Source organism: Homo sapiens, chromosome 2 (assembly GCF_000001405.40).
Source record: "Homo sapiens chromosome 2, GRCh38.p14 Primary Assembly".
Lineage (NCBI taxonomy): Eukaryota > Metazoa > Chordata > Mammalia > Primates > Hominidae > Homo > Homo sapiens.
In genome coordinates, this window is record NC_000002.12 from 104,377,773 (window position 1) to 104,393,491 (window position 15,719).

Genomic DNA, 15,719 nt, shown 5'->3' on the forward strand with positions numbered 1-15,719 from the left:
AACTAAGGGTAAGAAAACTGAAGGTTATTTGCTGTTAAGTAAACTAAATATAGTTTATTTGAACTGTATTTATGAATTTGAAGCATGTTAGAGGACATCCTTGGGAAATCCCTGAGACCTTCTGATATTGAAACAGGAAAAGTTCCCTTGTCCCCCTTGTAGGGCGTGCAATGGGGGTGTGGTTTGCTTCTTCAGTGCCCCACTACTCAAACCTCTAGGGGAGCACACAGATGGGCAGGCTGTGGGGTTCCAATCCTATGGCAGTGTCTAGGGGTGAATGTTTACAGCTGAAACCCCAGTGGGCATGTGTTACAAGGTGCTCTTTTAGTTTGCTGTCTATAGGCAGCTTGTGTTAACCAGCTCAGTTAGACCCTCTATCTTGTCACAAGGACAGAGGGCTTTCTGTATCCCAGGTTCTTGCCTTGGTGTACCAGAAAAATTGTATCACACGTGGGCTTGGAGAATGAGTACAAAATTCTATTGAGTGAAAGTAGCTCTCAGCAGATGGGGGAGCCAGAAGGGAGATGGTTTTTCCCGTGGAGTTGGGCCCTTAGTGGCCCCCGGCTCTCCTCTAACTGCCCCAGCCAAACTCTGCCTTGTCCCACCAGTCGATGGCCTGAGGGTGTGCTGGCATCTGTCAGTGTGCTCTTCTGCTGGCATGCTCCCTTGACATCCTCTCGCCTTCCAGCCGCTTGTGTTTTCTTCTGGTGATGTGCTCCTCTCAACAACTGGCTGCCTGTGTGTCTGCCGGCTAGGGTCTCAGGTTTTTATAAGTCCAGGATGGGGGCGTGGCAGACCAGGGTGGTCTTGGAAAATGCAACATTTGGGCTGAAAGCAGGAGTGCCTGTCCTCACCTAGTCTGTTGGAGGGGAGCCCTAGCCAGGAACCCGCCTTTCTCTACCCAGCACTTCCCTCCCGCACTCCCGTATCAAGGTAACTATACGATATGTTACTGTCTTCTCATTGAAAACAGACAAATTAGCAGGCTCTAACTGCTCTTTGTTTACTGCAGGAAACACATGCCAAGATCAACTGACTTGATAGGTAATCCATTTGCCCTCAAGTACCCCTCTAGCCCAGGAAGCCCATCCCTGCCCTCTAGAACAGTGGGATAACAATGCAAACTACACTTCCCAGAAGTCTTTACCCACCACTTCCTGTTAGATTCAGCCAATGGAAGCACTTACAGGAAATTAGAGGGTCGGTGGAGGAGGGGTGAAGCTATGGTATTCGTAACTCATCTCTGTGTCCACAGGCTTTTCCAGCATGGGCTTTATCTCTCCTGGAAGTCTGTTCTCACCAAGCAGATCAGCCCTCAAAGGCCCCATCTCCTGGACCCTGGTATATATATCCCTTCTCTTTGCCCCTCCAACCCTTGTTGTGGTAACAGCTTCCTGCAGTTGTCAGTGTCTGGATTGCTTCACTTCCCTTGTTTTCAGATCTTCTAATACCTCTGTGACTTGCTTTTGTATTAGATACCCATGATAAACCATCTGGGCACGAGCTGTCTTCCAGGCAGACTCTGACTGACATAGTCAAATCTGCTTCATACAGCCTTTGTGACCCATACCTGATGTCTCTTATTGGTGTGCACTTTGACCATAAGCTGATTTGCTGCAAGCACTTTAGAAACTGCCTTTTAAACTGGAGGAGAGAGGCTTCAAATTGCCTTTCTTCTTCAGCCTCGCTGATTTGAGGGTCTCTTTGTCCGGGGCCCATTGAGGCATGCCAGACAGAAACTGCTGAGAACAGGCAGGGGGTGTACAGGCTGCATGATTCCTTGGATTCTGATGGTCTTTGATGGAAGGTAGTTTCTCTCTGATGAAATGTTATTTTGAATATTATGAATTTTTGGCAAAATAATGCTGTCATCATCTGCGTAAGTTTGCTTTCTTCAGTAGCATTGCTGAGGGATGTTCAGCATTTTTATCATACAATGCACAGCTTTCAGGAAGAAAACCAAACATCTAAAGAGAAAACACACACGTGTTTGGTGGCAACCTCCAGATATCAAGACCTGGATCACTGAAAGAGATAACTCCATATTGGTTATAGTGAATTATAAGTGATTTTTAAGTAGTCAATTGACTGCCTTGTCTTCCATCATACCTACATCCCATCAATTTTCAATGCTGCTCAAAAAGCAGTCTTTCCAAAAGCCAAATCTGATCACATTTCCCAGTTTTAAAACCTCTATTGTATTTTCATAGCTTTCAGGACAAAGACCAAATATTTCAGCATGGTAGCATACCTCGTACTTCAAATATGTAATTCCTGCCCTTCTCTGTATCCTCCTGCCTGCTATTTCTGCCCATCCCCATTATTCCCTTTGGCTTTCAAAAGTTCCCTAAATCTGCCATATTTTAAAAATATCTATCATTTTGTGTTTGGTGACCTATTTTCTCTCCTTTCTTTCTTTCTCTGACTCACCCCTAGTCTTTTCAGGTTCGGCTGAAATGCCACCTAAAATCTGCCCCTGCCTGCCTTCTGTCCCTAGCCCTATCTGGCAGAACACCAGCCCAAGGGCTTCCGTAGGATCTGCTGCATACCCTACACTTTACACAGTGCGGGAATCATCTGTTTTCCTGACCAGCTTCCCTGGCACACTGGCTGTCTCCTGGGCAGGGCCATCCTCTTGTGCTTCCTCATTTGTGTCAGCATGTAATATAACCAGCTCTTAATACATGCTCCCACCATCAGTGCATAAGAGTTCCAGACGCTCTGCATTCTTATCAACTAAGTATTCTCAGTCTTTTTAAATGTTAGCCATACGAAGGCATATGTGGTATTTCATTGTGGTTTTAATTTGCACCTCCCTAGTAACTAATGATGTTGAATTTATTTTGACATACTTATTAACCACTTATATACCTTCTTTTGTCAAGGGTTTGTTCGGGTCTTTTGCTCACTTTTTATTTTTATTTTTATTATTGATTTGTAAGGGTTTAATGAACACAATTTTTATGACTTGGTAAGTACATATTGGTTTGGCAGAACTAAGAGAACTTTTGTCACAGTGTCTCTGAAATTTTGTTTTTACTTCTGTATAACAAGAAAAATATGGTATTATTTTGGGTTATATGAATCACTGACTTTAAAATAATCCCATATTATATAAAAAGGAGAAATTCCAAATAATATCTGACTACAAAATATTGGGTTTTTATTTAGCACACATTTATAATAAACACATGATGAAATTTGGATTTTTCTTTAGGGAGGATCAAAATGTAACTGAACATCACAAAATAATGTACTTCTTCAGAAAAAAGAATTTACTCTAACTAAAAATATTCCTATCACATTTTGGCTAAGTATACAGTGGGAAAACATGACACTAACCTTTTTCTACTAAAGGAATTTGTATCTAAATTATTTTTTATAGGAAATGGATATGTTTATCACAGAATCTGAACACACCATACAGATAAAAGAATTGGTTCTTAATGTTTTGATCATTGCCAGAACAAGCACATTTCCGGATTTATTTATTTTTTTCCCAAAAGGTTGAGTAAGACATAACAAACACTCCCTGCCACAGGCATGGCTTGGCGGTAGGTCGGATACCTGGGTTATATAAATCTTTACGCTGAGCGTTTATGACATTTCAACTTAGAAGTTCATTCAGTTTGATGATTGAGGCAGCAGGCAATTATGACATTAAAGAGTTCACAGACCTTAACCCAAGACCCAAATGGTTTAATTTTTTTAATGGCTGACTGCCTCTCCCGATGTGCACAGACCAATGCAGAGTTTAAAACCCTCACCCATCTTAATTGCCCCTGCTTTGTTGCAAGCACCACTGACTGCCTTTTAGTTCCAAATGTCTTCGGTTATTAACAATTATCAATAGAAAGTAATAGAAAGTAATCCAGACTTACACTGGCGATACAATTGGCCACATATGCCCTAGTGGAGCATAAAATAAGAAAGATCGTTACTATTACTACCAAAGCGTCATATGGAAGAACATACTTTAAAAGTGAATCACATTATGCCTGTTGAGTCAATTATTTCTACTTGCAAAGACAGGGCTTCTTCCTGAAGAGGACTTTCCTTTCTTAGGTCAAGACACAGTCATAGATTCAAATGTATGTATTCAAATGTGATTGAAGAACACATTTGAAAGATGCTACTCTACCAGAGTTGCCAGATTGGGGGAAAATATAAAGTGGAATTTTATCTAGTAATACCATATTTGCACCTACTAATATTTCCTTTGTTCCTGAACTCACGGCAATTAGTAGGTTGGCATCATATTAAATGTCTGTAATTTTCACAATTTTCTAATATTGAATCGATTTTTCAGTACCACGTAGTAAACGTAATCAATCTTGGCTGTGAACTCTAGATAGCAGCAGTAGGCCTCTAGAAAGATGACTGAAGGCTTAGGGCAGTGCTTTCATTGAAGCAGATGAGGTCAGTGAGTGTAAAATATTTTAAGAAATGTCTTCTACAATCATTAAAAATCCCTGACATGAGAGTTTGAAATGCTTATTGGTTACCTGAGATAGATCAAGTTCACATCGACTCTTTTATTTGGGGCTTGAAATATATTTTACTAGTCACAGTGCTAGAAAAGAACATTAAAGATATTTTAGTTAATTTATTCTTTCCTACCATCTGCAGCATAAAGCTATTTTCAAAAACATATAGAATACTTTTACCATAGATGTAGTTTCCTTAAAGAATCTTGACAGTATTTTGTCAATAAGTTAATTTAAAAAGTGGGGTTGATATTTCTCAAAATCATATCCTGTTTCAACCCTCCTGAGACAAATTGTCTCACCCCCAACCCAGCTTACAGTGTTAATCACTACATTCGCAATCGTATTTTGAATCCTTCTGTTGAAAACAAGGTAGTCTGTGTTACTTGTCAACAGAGGTTGCTTTTCTCCTCTTGGAAAGTCATTTGGTTACCCAACGTATCCTTCTCATTAATTGGAAAGATCAGTTTCAGTCAGAACACTACTGATTCTTGGAGCTAGTCATGATGGTGACCAGAGGTGAGTGGGGATAATTGATAGCTGTATTGGCCCAAATCCCCTTCTATGATACTAGAACATAGGTCCTTGAGCTTGCAGGCTTGATGGTTTCTTTGCTGAAGAGGTAGAACATTCTATATAACTTTATTATTCAAAGCAAAATTTATAATTGTCAGCAATTAATGGATTTTAATTTTCATTTTTAACTTTTTTTTGAGGCAGAGTCTCACTCTGTCACCCAGGCTAGAGTACAGTGGCGTGATCATGGCTCACTGCAGCCTCAACCTCCCTGGCTTAAGCAGTTCTCCCACCTCAGCCTCCCGAGTAGCTGGGACTACAAGCATGTGCCACAATGCCTGGCTAATTTTTTAGTTTTTTTGTTGAGTCATAGTTTCACTGTGTTATCCAGGCTGGTCTCAAACACCTAGTTCAAGTGATCCTCACTCTCCCAAAGTGCTGGGATTACAGGTGTGAGCCACCATACCTGGCCATGAATGGAGTTTAGAAGTTCAGTGATTATTTTATATCAAAAATTTGTACTTCCAGGGAAAAGGTTAAACTTTCTTCAGATTCTAGGAGGTTAGGAAACTCAACCTTGTATGGTATTCACTGGGTGTGCTCTATCCTAGTTCCCACAAATGTAAGATGTTATCATCTTAGGAGAGATTTGCCAAAACGTAAGTGTCTGGTCAGTACCAATGGTCAAGCATGAACCTCCAGATCTTGCAAACATGTGTCCATTTCACTGGATTCCTTATATTTTATCCTCTATCCCATCTCTCATCTATGTTCCCCCAAGAGCTTCTTCTTATCAATCTCTTACCGCCACTTCCCACAGCTATTATTATTTGTTTTCCTCTCTGTCTCTCTGCCAAGATTCTGAGTGCCTCCATGTTTCTCACTGTGTACCCCTTAGCATGCAGAGGAAAGTCCTGACACAAGAGAGTTAGTAAAGTCTGAATGAGTGAGTGAGTGAATGCATGAATGAATGAAGGAATGGAGTGTCCAGAGATGATAAAACCAGCTCATTTTCCCTGAGGACCCAGAATAAAACTAATCTGAATATGTAGATAAATGTGGTGATAGGAAGGAGGTTAAACTAGGAAGCTAGGTATCTCATGGAGGAGTGAGTCAAGGAAACCAGCACAGTTATAGAAACAATTCACTGTCATTTATTTATTATTTATTTATTTAGAAATGGGGTTCTGCCATGTTGCTCAGGCTGGTCTTGAACTCCAGAGCTTAAGTGATCCTCCTGCTTTGGCCTCCCAAAGTGCTGAGATTAGAGCTGTGAGCCACCGTACCTGGCCTAACAATTCACTGTTAACTACCTGGGCTTCTAATTTACTCAAAATCTCTGCCCTGAAAATCACATCTCATTAAAAAGTCCATCCTTCCTTGATGTGGATGAAATCTGGCCCTGCTACTTTCTGCCTCCCCGCTACTACCCCCACCATGTTCTGGGCCATCCCTGTACCCACCAAAAGCTCTGTTTGCTGCCCAGCCCACAGTCATGTTGCTTCCTTCTTTTGGTTCTTCACCTTCCTTAGACATCCTTCTTTCTGCTCTCCACCTACTAAATAATATTGCTGTAATAGCATCTTCTAGTAAAGGCTTAGTATGTTTCAGGCACCATGCTAAGGGCTTCACTGAAGTACTACATTTAATTCTCATAACAACCTGTGTCAAACTATTTTGATCCTCATTTCAAAGTTGAGGCATCTAAAGTTTCAAGAGGTTCAAAGTCACGCGCCTTATTCATCCTTCTCCAACTGAATTCAGGTGGCATTTCCTATGGGAAGCCACTTTGACTCACAGGACCCAGGTAGGCATCTTCCTGGGGCTGCAGGGCACACATGTCACCGTCAGACTGTTATCTGTATGTGCCTTGGAACTTTGTATTTCTTGAGGATAGAATCATGCTTTATGAATCATAATCTTGGGGCCAAGAACAGTGGTACTTGGCAAGGGCTCAATATAATTTGTTTTGTTTTGTGTTTTGTTTTTTATTACTTGTTTAAATAATAACTAACTCTTGGTCCTTGACTCATGGTCTTCCTCTCCACGCTGAGTCCGTCCTTCTGGACAATACGTTCAACACTAACATGCTTCAACTGTGTTCTCACACCACCAATCTCCAAGCCAGGATCAGGCAACCCATGTGCTTTTTCTGCTTGTACTTTCCAGATGACAAACAGTACTAACAAAAGCCTCTTTTTAAGCCTCTTTCCTAGTCTAGATCCACACACCAACGGGCACATGGCAGAAGTGGTTAACAGCACAGCCCCAGAGTCACACTGCCCAAGTTCGTATCCCTGCCCCGCCTTACAGGGCATTGGGAAAATCTGTGTCATTGGGAAAATCATTACCCTCTCAGAGTCTCCAAGCCCACATTGAAACAGAGGGGATCATGAAATGACCTACCACATAAGAATGGCATGAGGATTAACTGAGTCATTAAATGAGGCATCTATACAGCTTATATAGACTCATACACGTGTGTGCCTATGTGTGTGTATGTAGTTGATTTTCATTATTTGTGGTAGTAGCAGTCACGTTTTCATCAATCAATACAAAATTTTGTTTTATACACTTAAAAAATATATATCGTTCATTCATTTTGCATTAAACTCACAGCCAACAGCACCATAACTTATGCTGAATGAGGCTCATTTAATACACATATTTTCTCCACAGGGTGCATCACAGCCATCTCACACAGGAACACTGGAAAGCACCTCAGCACTACCATTGAGGGCCATTTTAAACAGCAAAATCTCCATCAGAAAGCCCTCAGATTGGAAAAATGTGTTACTACATAGATTGTGAAAAGGGCACCTATTCAGGGAGCTGAAACAAGACCATCGTCTTGTTCAGCCTCAGCTGAGGACATACACATTGTGCAACTCCAATTTTTTGCCATTCTGTGTATGTCTACAAATGAATTTAAAAGCACCAAGAGAATTGATTTGGGAGTGTTCATTAAGTCTAGCCTAAAGCTGCCACCTTATATATTTTAAGGTTACCCTAAAGGTTTCTCTGTGTATAGTGAACTCTCACCTAACTGGACGTGTAAACAGACTATCACCTAATCTTGCAATAGCTGGCTGAGTCTCAGCCAATCACAGCAATCATACTTCAACCACTCATAGGCAGTCAGCTGTTCACATCATGTTGAAGTGAGGCAAACGCTGCTAAGCTGTAACCAATCCAGCTGTTTTTGTATCTCGCTTCCATTTTCTGAACATCACTTTCTTATTTCTGTTCATAGATCCTCTCTGACCACACAGTAGCATGGGTCCTCTCTGAACCTTTTCTGCCCATTTCGTGACTCCTTTGCTCAATTAAACTCTGTTAAATTTAATTTGCCTAAAGCTTTTCTTTTAACAGGAGTTACAAATCAATTTTAGCAAGTAGGCAAATTTGCAAAAATCTAATTCTCAATGAGGATTGACCCTATACCCATGCATATATTACCAGGTACTTTCTGAGCAGGAGGATCTCTGCAATTCTGGTTCCAGCCCCTTCTTCCACCTTTGCCCTCGCCACCTCTTTTTTGTTTTGTTTTTGAAACAAGTTCTCACTCTGTTGCCCAGGCTGGAGTAGAGTGGCACAAACACGGCTCACTGTAGCCTTGAACTCCTGGGTCCAAGCAACCCTACCGCCTCAGCCTCTGGAGTAGCTGGGACCACAGGTGTATGCTACCATGCCTGGATAACTTTTTTGTAGAGACAGGGTCTCACTGTGTTGCCTTGAACTCCTGGGCTCAAGTGATCCTAGCACCTTAGCCTCCCAAAGCTCTGCAATTACAGGAGCCACCACATCTGGCCTGCACCCACCACTTCTTGCAGCACCTGGTTCTATCAGCCATCCCTGTCCTCCAACTCCAGTACTTTAAACATGCTCAAACTTTTCCCATGTGAAAAAAAAAGAGAGAAGGAATTACACATGCACTTCCTCACTCTTACATCCTCATTTCTCTCCTCTCCTCTTTATTGAAAGTCCTCAACAGAACGTTCTTCTCTCACTAACTCTGGTTCTTCACCTTTCACCCCTACTTCAAACCATCATGAACCAGCATGTGCAGCAGCCACAATACTGAAACTGCTCTTCCTAGGACCACCAGCCACCTCCTCACTGCCCAGTTCAATACCTGCTTTCTCATGCTGACTTTTCTGGACAGTTTCCCCGCATTTGACATTTCAGGTCACTCCCCACCTTAGAGACTCATGGAATCCATCAGATCCTACTACACACTGCTGCCTCACACTTCTCGGGGTGTATTTTTGCTGTCATCTCCCTGGATTGCACTTCTCTTCCTGCCTCTGAGATGTCATTGCCCGGAGGCCTGTAACTCCTTCTTGCTTAAATGTTCTCCATGATTTCCAGTGTCCGGATGGTGCCCATATGTGCATCTGCAAACTCATCACAAGTTTACTCTCTTCCTTGCCTGGGCTGATTTCTCCTCTGACTTCAACTCCTCACCTGTCCAATACCTAAACAGATGTAAGACTCAGCCTGGTGTTGTATAAGATTTAAAACTTCTTTCAATGCCAAGATACAACACAAAGACACTCAGAGGTGAGAGACAGAACTTGTTACCTACAGCTCCAAATCAGAGCAGGCTGTCGGCAGAGCCACACAGGGGCTTGAAACAGGGCAGGGTAAGAGCAAGCTGGGGCTGTCAGAGATAGCTTATGTATGGCAAGCGAGGTGGGCTTAGCTGGGTTTCCAGGCTGCTTGTGGGTTCACTAACTTGAATACTTTATCAGGTTCCTAGGCATTGAATCTGTCCCTAGTTGTCTGGCACCTAGCCCCAGGGAGATAAACGTGGGTGCACAGGAGCCCCAGAGGGTGAGAGCCCAACAAGAAAGGTGGTCGAGGTATGGACTTAATCAGATGCCAAGAAGGAACTGATCAGCCTCTAGTCAGGGCCTCAAAGCTGGGTCAAGACAGCATTACAAAAAACAACTGTCTTACAACAGGCATCACTGCTCCAGTGTGACTGAGAATTTCCCGGAGATCCAGTGTCCCTTTCCTAGGCACTGAATTACACTTGTCCACTTAGGCTTCTGTCTCCCTTACTTGGTTGATAGCTGCGATGGCAAGAATTGTGTCTTGTTCATCTTTGTACTCCAGAACCCAGCACAAAGAAAGTGCTTAATAGTTTCCAAATGGATTAATAAAAGGTGAAAAATAGAGAATCAAAATCTTAGAATCTAGAATCACCTAGATCTTAGAAAAGAAGCACCTATGTTTAAAAATATGATCTTCTTGGAAAAAAATATCAATATACAGAAAATGCAAGAAACAAGCACGGCTCTAAAGTGAAACTTGGTGTCTAAGTGAACTAGGTATTAAGTTGCTATGGGAAAAAATTAATTCATTTGAGGAAAGATGAGAAGGGTATAACGGAGATTAATTAAAATTTAGTTTATCAGATTTTTCTCAGGAGATTGGCAATTTAGTCAGAGGAAAATCTTATTTAAGTGCATAAGTATATTTCAGCTTATAAGTGGGATGCATGGTAAAATGAAAACAGAATATCAGTGTATGTTAAGTAGTTACCATTTTAGAATTTGAAATCCTCTAGAATTCTAAGACTAGAAAATAAAAGTCTCAGGGTAAAAGTTTGCAGCTATCTCCGTCTGATGAATACTTAAAATACCAGATGCATGGAGTCACTGATGGCTTTCATGTCCCTAAAGCTGACAGACTCTAGTTGGTATTCATCTCATCTGTGAAAACCCATGGGATTGCTCCATCCGGGAAGTTTTCTATTCTCTTGGCTTCTTTACATCAGTCTCTCTTGGATTTCCTCCTGTTCTCTGGCTGATTTTGTTTTGGTTTAGGTATCATTTTCTGGCCCCTCCTCCTCTACCTAGCCTTTAAATTCCAAAGGAATCCATCCTGGTCCTCATTCCTTTCTTGATCTACATCCTCCCTCAGATAGCTTACCTACTCTCCTGGCTTTAATGCAAATTCTCTGTGCCATCAACTCCCAGTTTCATGTCTGTGTTCCCTAAAATGTTTTTGCACAGCAAAGAAAACAATCAACAGAATGAAGAGGCAGCATACAGAACGAGAGAAAATATTTGTAAATCGCTCATCTGAGAAGGGGTTAAAATCCAAAATATATAAGGAATTTAAGCAACTCAATAGTAAGAAAACAAATAACCTAATTGAAAAATAGGCAAAGGATCTGAATACACATTTCTCAGAAGAAGACATTTAAATGGCCAATAAGTATATGGGGAAAAAAAGGTCCCAAATCACTAGAGAAGTGCAAATCAAAACCACAATGAAATATCACCTCACAACTGTTAGAATGGCTGGTATCAAAAGATAAGGAAGTGATAAGAAGTGATGGAGAAGATGAAGAGAAAAGGGAATCCTTGCACTGTGTTGGTGGAAATGTAAATTAGCACAGCCATCGTGGAAAACAACATGGAAGTTCCTCAAAAAATTAAAAATAGAATTACCATATGATCCAGCATTTCCACTACCGAACATATATCCAAAGGAAATGAAATCAGTATGTCTAAGAGATATCTGCACTCTCGTGTTTATTGTAGTGCTATTCACAATAGCCAAGATGTGGAATCAACCTGTGTCCATCAACAAATGACTAGATAAAGAAAATGTTATGTATACACAATGGAATACTATTCAGCCTTAAAAAGAGAAGGAGCCCAGGCGCTGTGGCTCACGCCTGTAATCCCAGCACTTTGGGAGGCCGAGGCGGGCGGATCACGAGGTCAGGAGATCAAGACAATCCTGGCCAACATGGTGAAACCCCATCCCTCCTAAAAATACAAAAAATTAGCTGGGCGTGGTGGTGGGCGCCTGTAGTCCCAGCTAATCGGGAGGCTGAGGCAGGAGAATGGCGTGAACCCAGGAGGCGGAGCTTGCAGTGAGCCGAGATCGCGCCACTGCACTCCAGCCTGGGCGACAGAGCAAGACTCCGTCTTAAAAAAAAAAGAAAAAAGAAAAAAAAAAGAGAAGGAAATCCTGTCATTTGTGACAACATAAATTAATCTGGAGGACATTGCGCTAAGTGAAATAAGCCAGGCACAGAAAGACAAATGCTGCATGATCTCACTTCTATGTGGAATCTAAAAAAGCTGAACCCACAGAAGCAGAGAGTAGAATGATGGTTACCAGAGGCTGGGAATGGGGGCAGTGAGAGTGGGAAATGCTGGTCAAGGGATCCAAAATTTCAGTGAGATAGGAGGAATAAGTTCAAGAGATCTATTGTACAATATGTTGACTGTAGTTAATAACAATGTACATATTGTATTCTAGAAAATTGCCAAGAGGGTAGATTTTAAGTGTTCTTACCAGAAAAAAAAACATAACTGTGTGATGTAATGTATATGTAAATTAGCCTGATTTAGCCATTTCAAATGCATTCATATTTCAAAATATACCATATTAAACTGTACCATAAATGTGTACAGTTTTTACTTGTCAATTTAAAATTAAAATAAAATTAAAACTCTAGGGAAATAAGGGAAAAGTGAAGAGAGCATACATAAATTTACCTATGGGAGAGAGTAGTGTGTGTACAGTTTTTATTTGTCAATTTAAAATTAAAATAAAATTAAAACTCTAGGGAAATAAGGGCAAAGTGAAGACAGCATACGTAAATTTACCTATGGGACAGAGTAGTGTGCTAAGGTCACCTGTCACCTCGGTCCTAGCTGTCCCATTCCCCAGAAATGAGAAAATGAGGTCTGATACTCACCTATAAATTTCTGAAGTTTAGCTTTGGGAACTAGTAAGTCGTAAGGGGTTGATGAATAGTAGCTACATATGAAATCATCAATTGGATAAAATTTTTCCCTGGTAATCCTACTGTCTCTGAGATCCCAGGGTCATTATGAGTGACTAACAATGATCTTGGGTGATGACTGGAAGGGGAAGCAGAGTTTGGATGAAAGAAGGTTGCTTTGTGAAGTGCTATGGGTAACAAGGATGTGATGAAGTAAATGCTTGAAAATATATTTAATGTGCTCTTTTCTAAGCAGGAAGCAAAAGGACTATCAGGTAAATGGCCTTAGTATTTTGGGTCAAAGCAAGAAAAATATGCTCTGGTGTAAATTATAACAATAACAGAAACCAGCATTTGTTGGCATTTCCTCTATCCTGGCACCACCATGTGCACTTTATGAGTGTTGGCCTATTAATCAAACCACTGTGTGATGGAAGCTGTGACCACCAGAGATCCCCTCTTATCATGCTGGTTATGGACAAGAAGCTGAGCAAGAAATTAGAAAGCCAAAAACAAACTTCTAATCCCAACTCCAGAAGGCTGTCGGTGACTTTGAATGTATCAGGCAATTTGTCTCTTAGCTTCACTTCTCTTTGTAATTAGAACTCTACAATGCAGACAGGCATGGTGGCTCACACCTGTAATCCCAGCACTTTGGGAGGCTGAGGCAGGAGATTCGCTTGAGGTCAGAAGTTTGAGATCAGCCTGGGCAACATATTGAGATTCTGTCTCTACAAAAAAATAATAAAATTAGCTGGGCATGGTGGTGCATGCCTGTAGTCCCAGCTACTCCAAGATTGAGGTGGGAGGATCACTTAAATCCAGGAGTTAGAGGCTGCAGCGAACTCTGATTGCACCACTGCATTCCAACCTGAGCAACAGAATGAGACCCTGTCTCTAAAAGAAGGAAAAGAATTACATAATGACAAGTTTTAGGTTTCTTGATGGAAACACAAGAGGAGAGAATAGTGACATTCACCTGGGAACTGAACTTTATTCCCTGCAAAAATATCAAAATACCCTAAAATGCATGAATCCTAGAGAATCAATAGGATGTCATTTAGGGGAAAAGAGGGCTAGTGTTTACTTGTTAGGAAACCTAAACTGAAGCTTGGCCAAAGCTAATTGTGGCTCGTGACTTCTGTGTGTTTTGTTGGGGGCTGTGGGGTAGAGGGAAGGAAAGAAAGGTTGCTCCAGGGAGAACAAACACCACAATAAGTGGCGACCGGGTCTTCTAGAATTTGAGGCTGAATTCTTTGGTTACAGTAGAGATTCTCCTTAAAAAAAAAAAAAAAAAAAAAAAAAAAAAAAAAAAAAAACCTCTTGACATTGGAAATTGAAGCTTTTAAAAGCTGTTATTACCCAGCTTTCACTATAAAGGGAATTCTCAATCAGGAATCTTTGCTTGCAGACCATAAACGTACTTCCTTGCCCTGTCCTAAACCCTACCCAGCAGTGGGAGGTTTCTGTGTGTCTTGCCTTCTGCAGATCAAACAGACAATTCCAAATGACTGGCCATACTACCTTGAAGCATTTCACTAGTCCATCTGTCAATCAGAAAGCATTTATTGAATGTAAACTACATACGCTACATAAACAATCTCCAACACTACCAGGCCCTAGAACATGTAAGATGCATGTATATTCAGTGATGAATTTCTTTCTTTAGCTTGAAACTAAAAAGGAGATCCCGATTTGGATTTTATAGCTCAGACATTTCCCTTCACATCTCTAAAATGTACCCCCAAAATGATATTTTGAGCACTTCACAGAAAGGGTGCCAAATATATCAAGGCAGTGGAGAAAGATTTTTTTTTTTACATAAACTCAACCTAGGGAATATACCACAAATAATCCTGTCATGATCATTAAACAAACTTTGAAAACGAATAACAACAATGTACTCTTACACTAATTAAGACCTAAATGGAGATGATTTGTTGTGGATACTGGACTACATTTTAAAATAATTTCCTCTATTGTACTTACTCCATTTTAATGGAAAGATAAGAATTTTGTTTGCATTCATACATTAATAGACTCAACAAATATTTACTGAGTGGCTGTTATGTGTCCAGCCCTGAGCTGGGCATTGTAGGAACAGTAAAATAATGCTTTTCAACTGCTCTCCTCCCACTTATATGATTTAGAAATAGTCACTTGTTTAATCTTCTCATCTATTTATTTCCCAAGAAAATGGTTCTTTTGCATAGTAACTTTTAATACAATATGTGTCAAGATAAAAAGCAGCATGCAATTATCCAATTTTCATCCACTTAAATTTTAATGACCATACTTACTTGCCCATCCAATTTCGAAACTTTTAGTAGCAGTTTGAGACCGGATATTCTCCCAGATTTAGTTCCACATGGCCAATGTCTGTTGGACCATGAATTATTTTTCAGTATGCAGTTTTTTGGTCAAAACAACCTTCCTTTTAAAGTGCGAATATTCAGAATAATTAATAACGTCCCATTTAAACTGCCAATATTCAGAATAATAATTAATCATGTGGTCTATGATTTTATATTTAGAGAGTGACACCCATATACAGTTCTTGAATGTTTTACTCCATATTATGCCTCAGGAACATGGCAAAATGAAGGGCTGGATGATTTCTATCACACATTTGGCTAAAAAAGCAGGAAAAATTAAGCAATAATCTCGGACCTTGAATATTCAAGCAGCCAGACCTGGAGCCCAGCAGATCCCTGGTAGCCTAACCTGAGAATGCAGAAACACAGCTGAGCAGGTCACAATTTCCTTCTCTCAGGTGTGCTTTGAAAAATATATCCATGTCACTGTTTAAATCACTTTTTACAGGGGAAAGATTGTGATTTAGGCTATTTCCACGCATAATCACTTAGATATGTACTTAGTACAGGTGGTTTCAGTATGGTGCTATGCAAAGAGTGGTATTCGCTCTGACTCCAGGCAGGAGATGTCACCTCCACTGGCTT

The 15,719-nt window shown here is 40.7% G+C and overlaps 1 long non-coding RNA gene across 1 annotated transcript in view; it reads right to left on the bottom strand.

The window, feature by feature from the left end:
* Positions 1–1,077: 1,077 nt before the first annotated feature.
* The window catches only part of LOC100287010 (uncharacterized), a 29,483-nt gene continuing 14,841 nt past the window's right edge, over positions 1,078–15,719 (bottom strand). Inside the window, exon 3 of the long non-coding RNA NR_037885.3 lies at positions 1,078–1,967. This is a non-coding gene — a long non-coding RNA (uncharacterized LOC100287010). The remainder of the gene's footprint in view (positions 1,968–15,719) is intronic.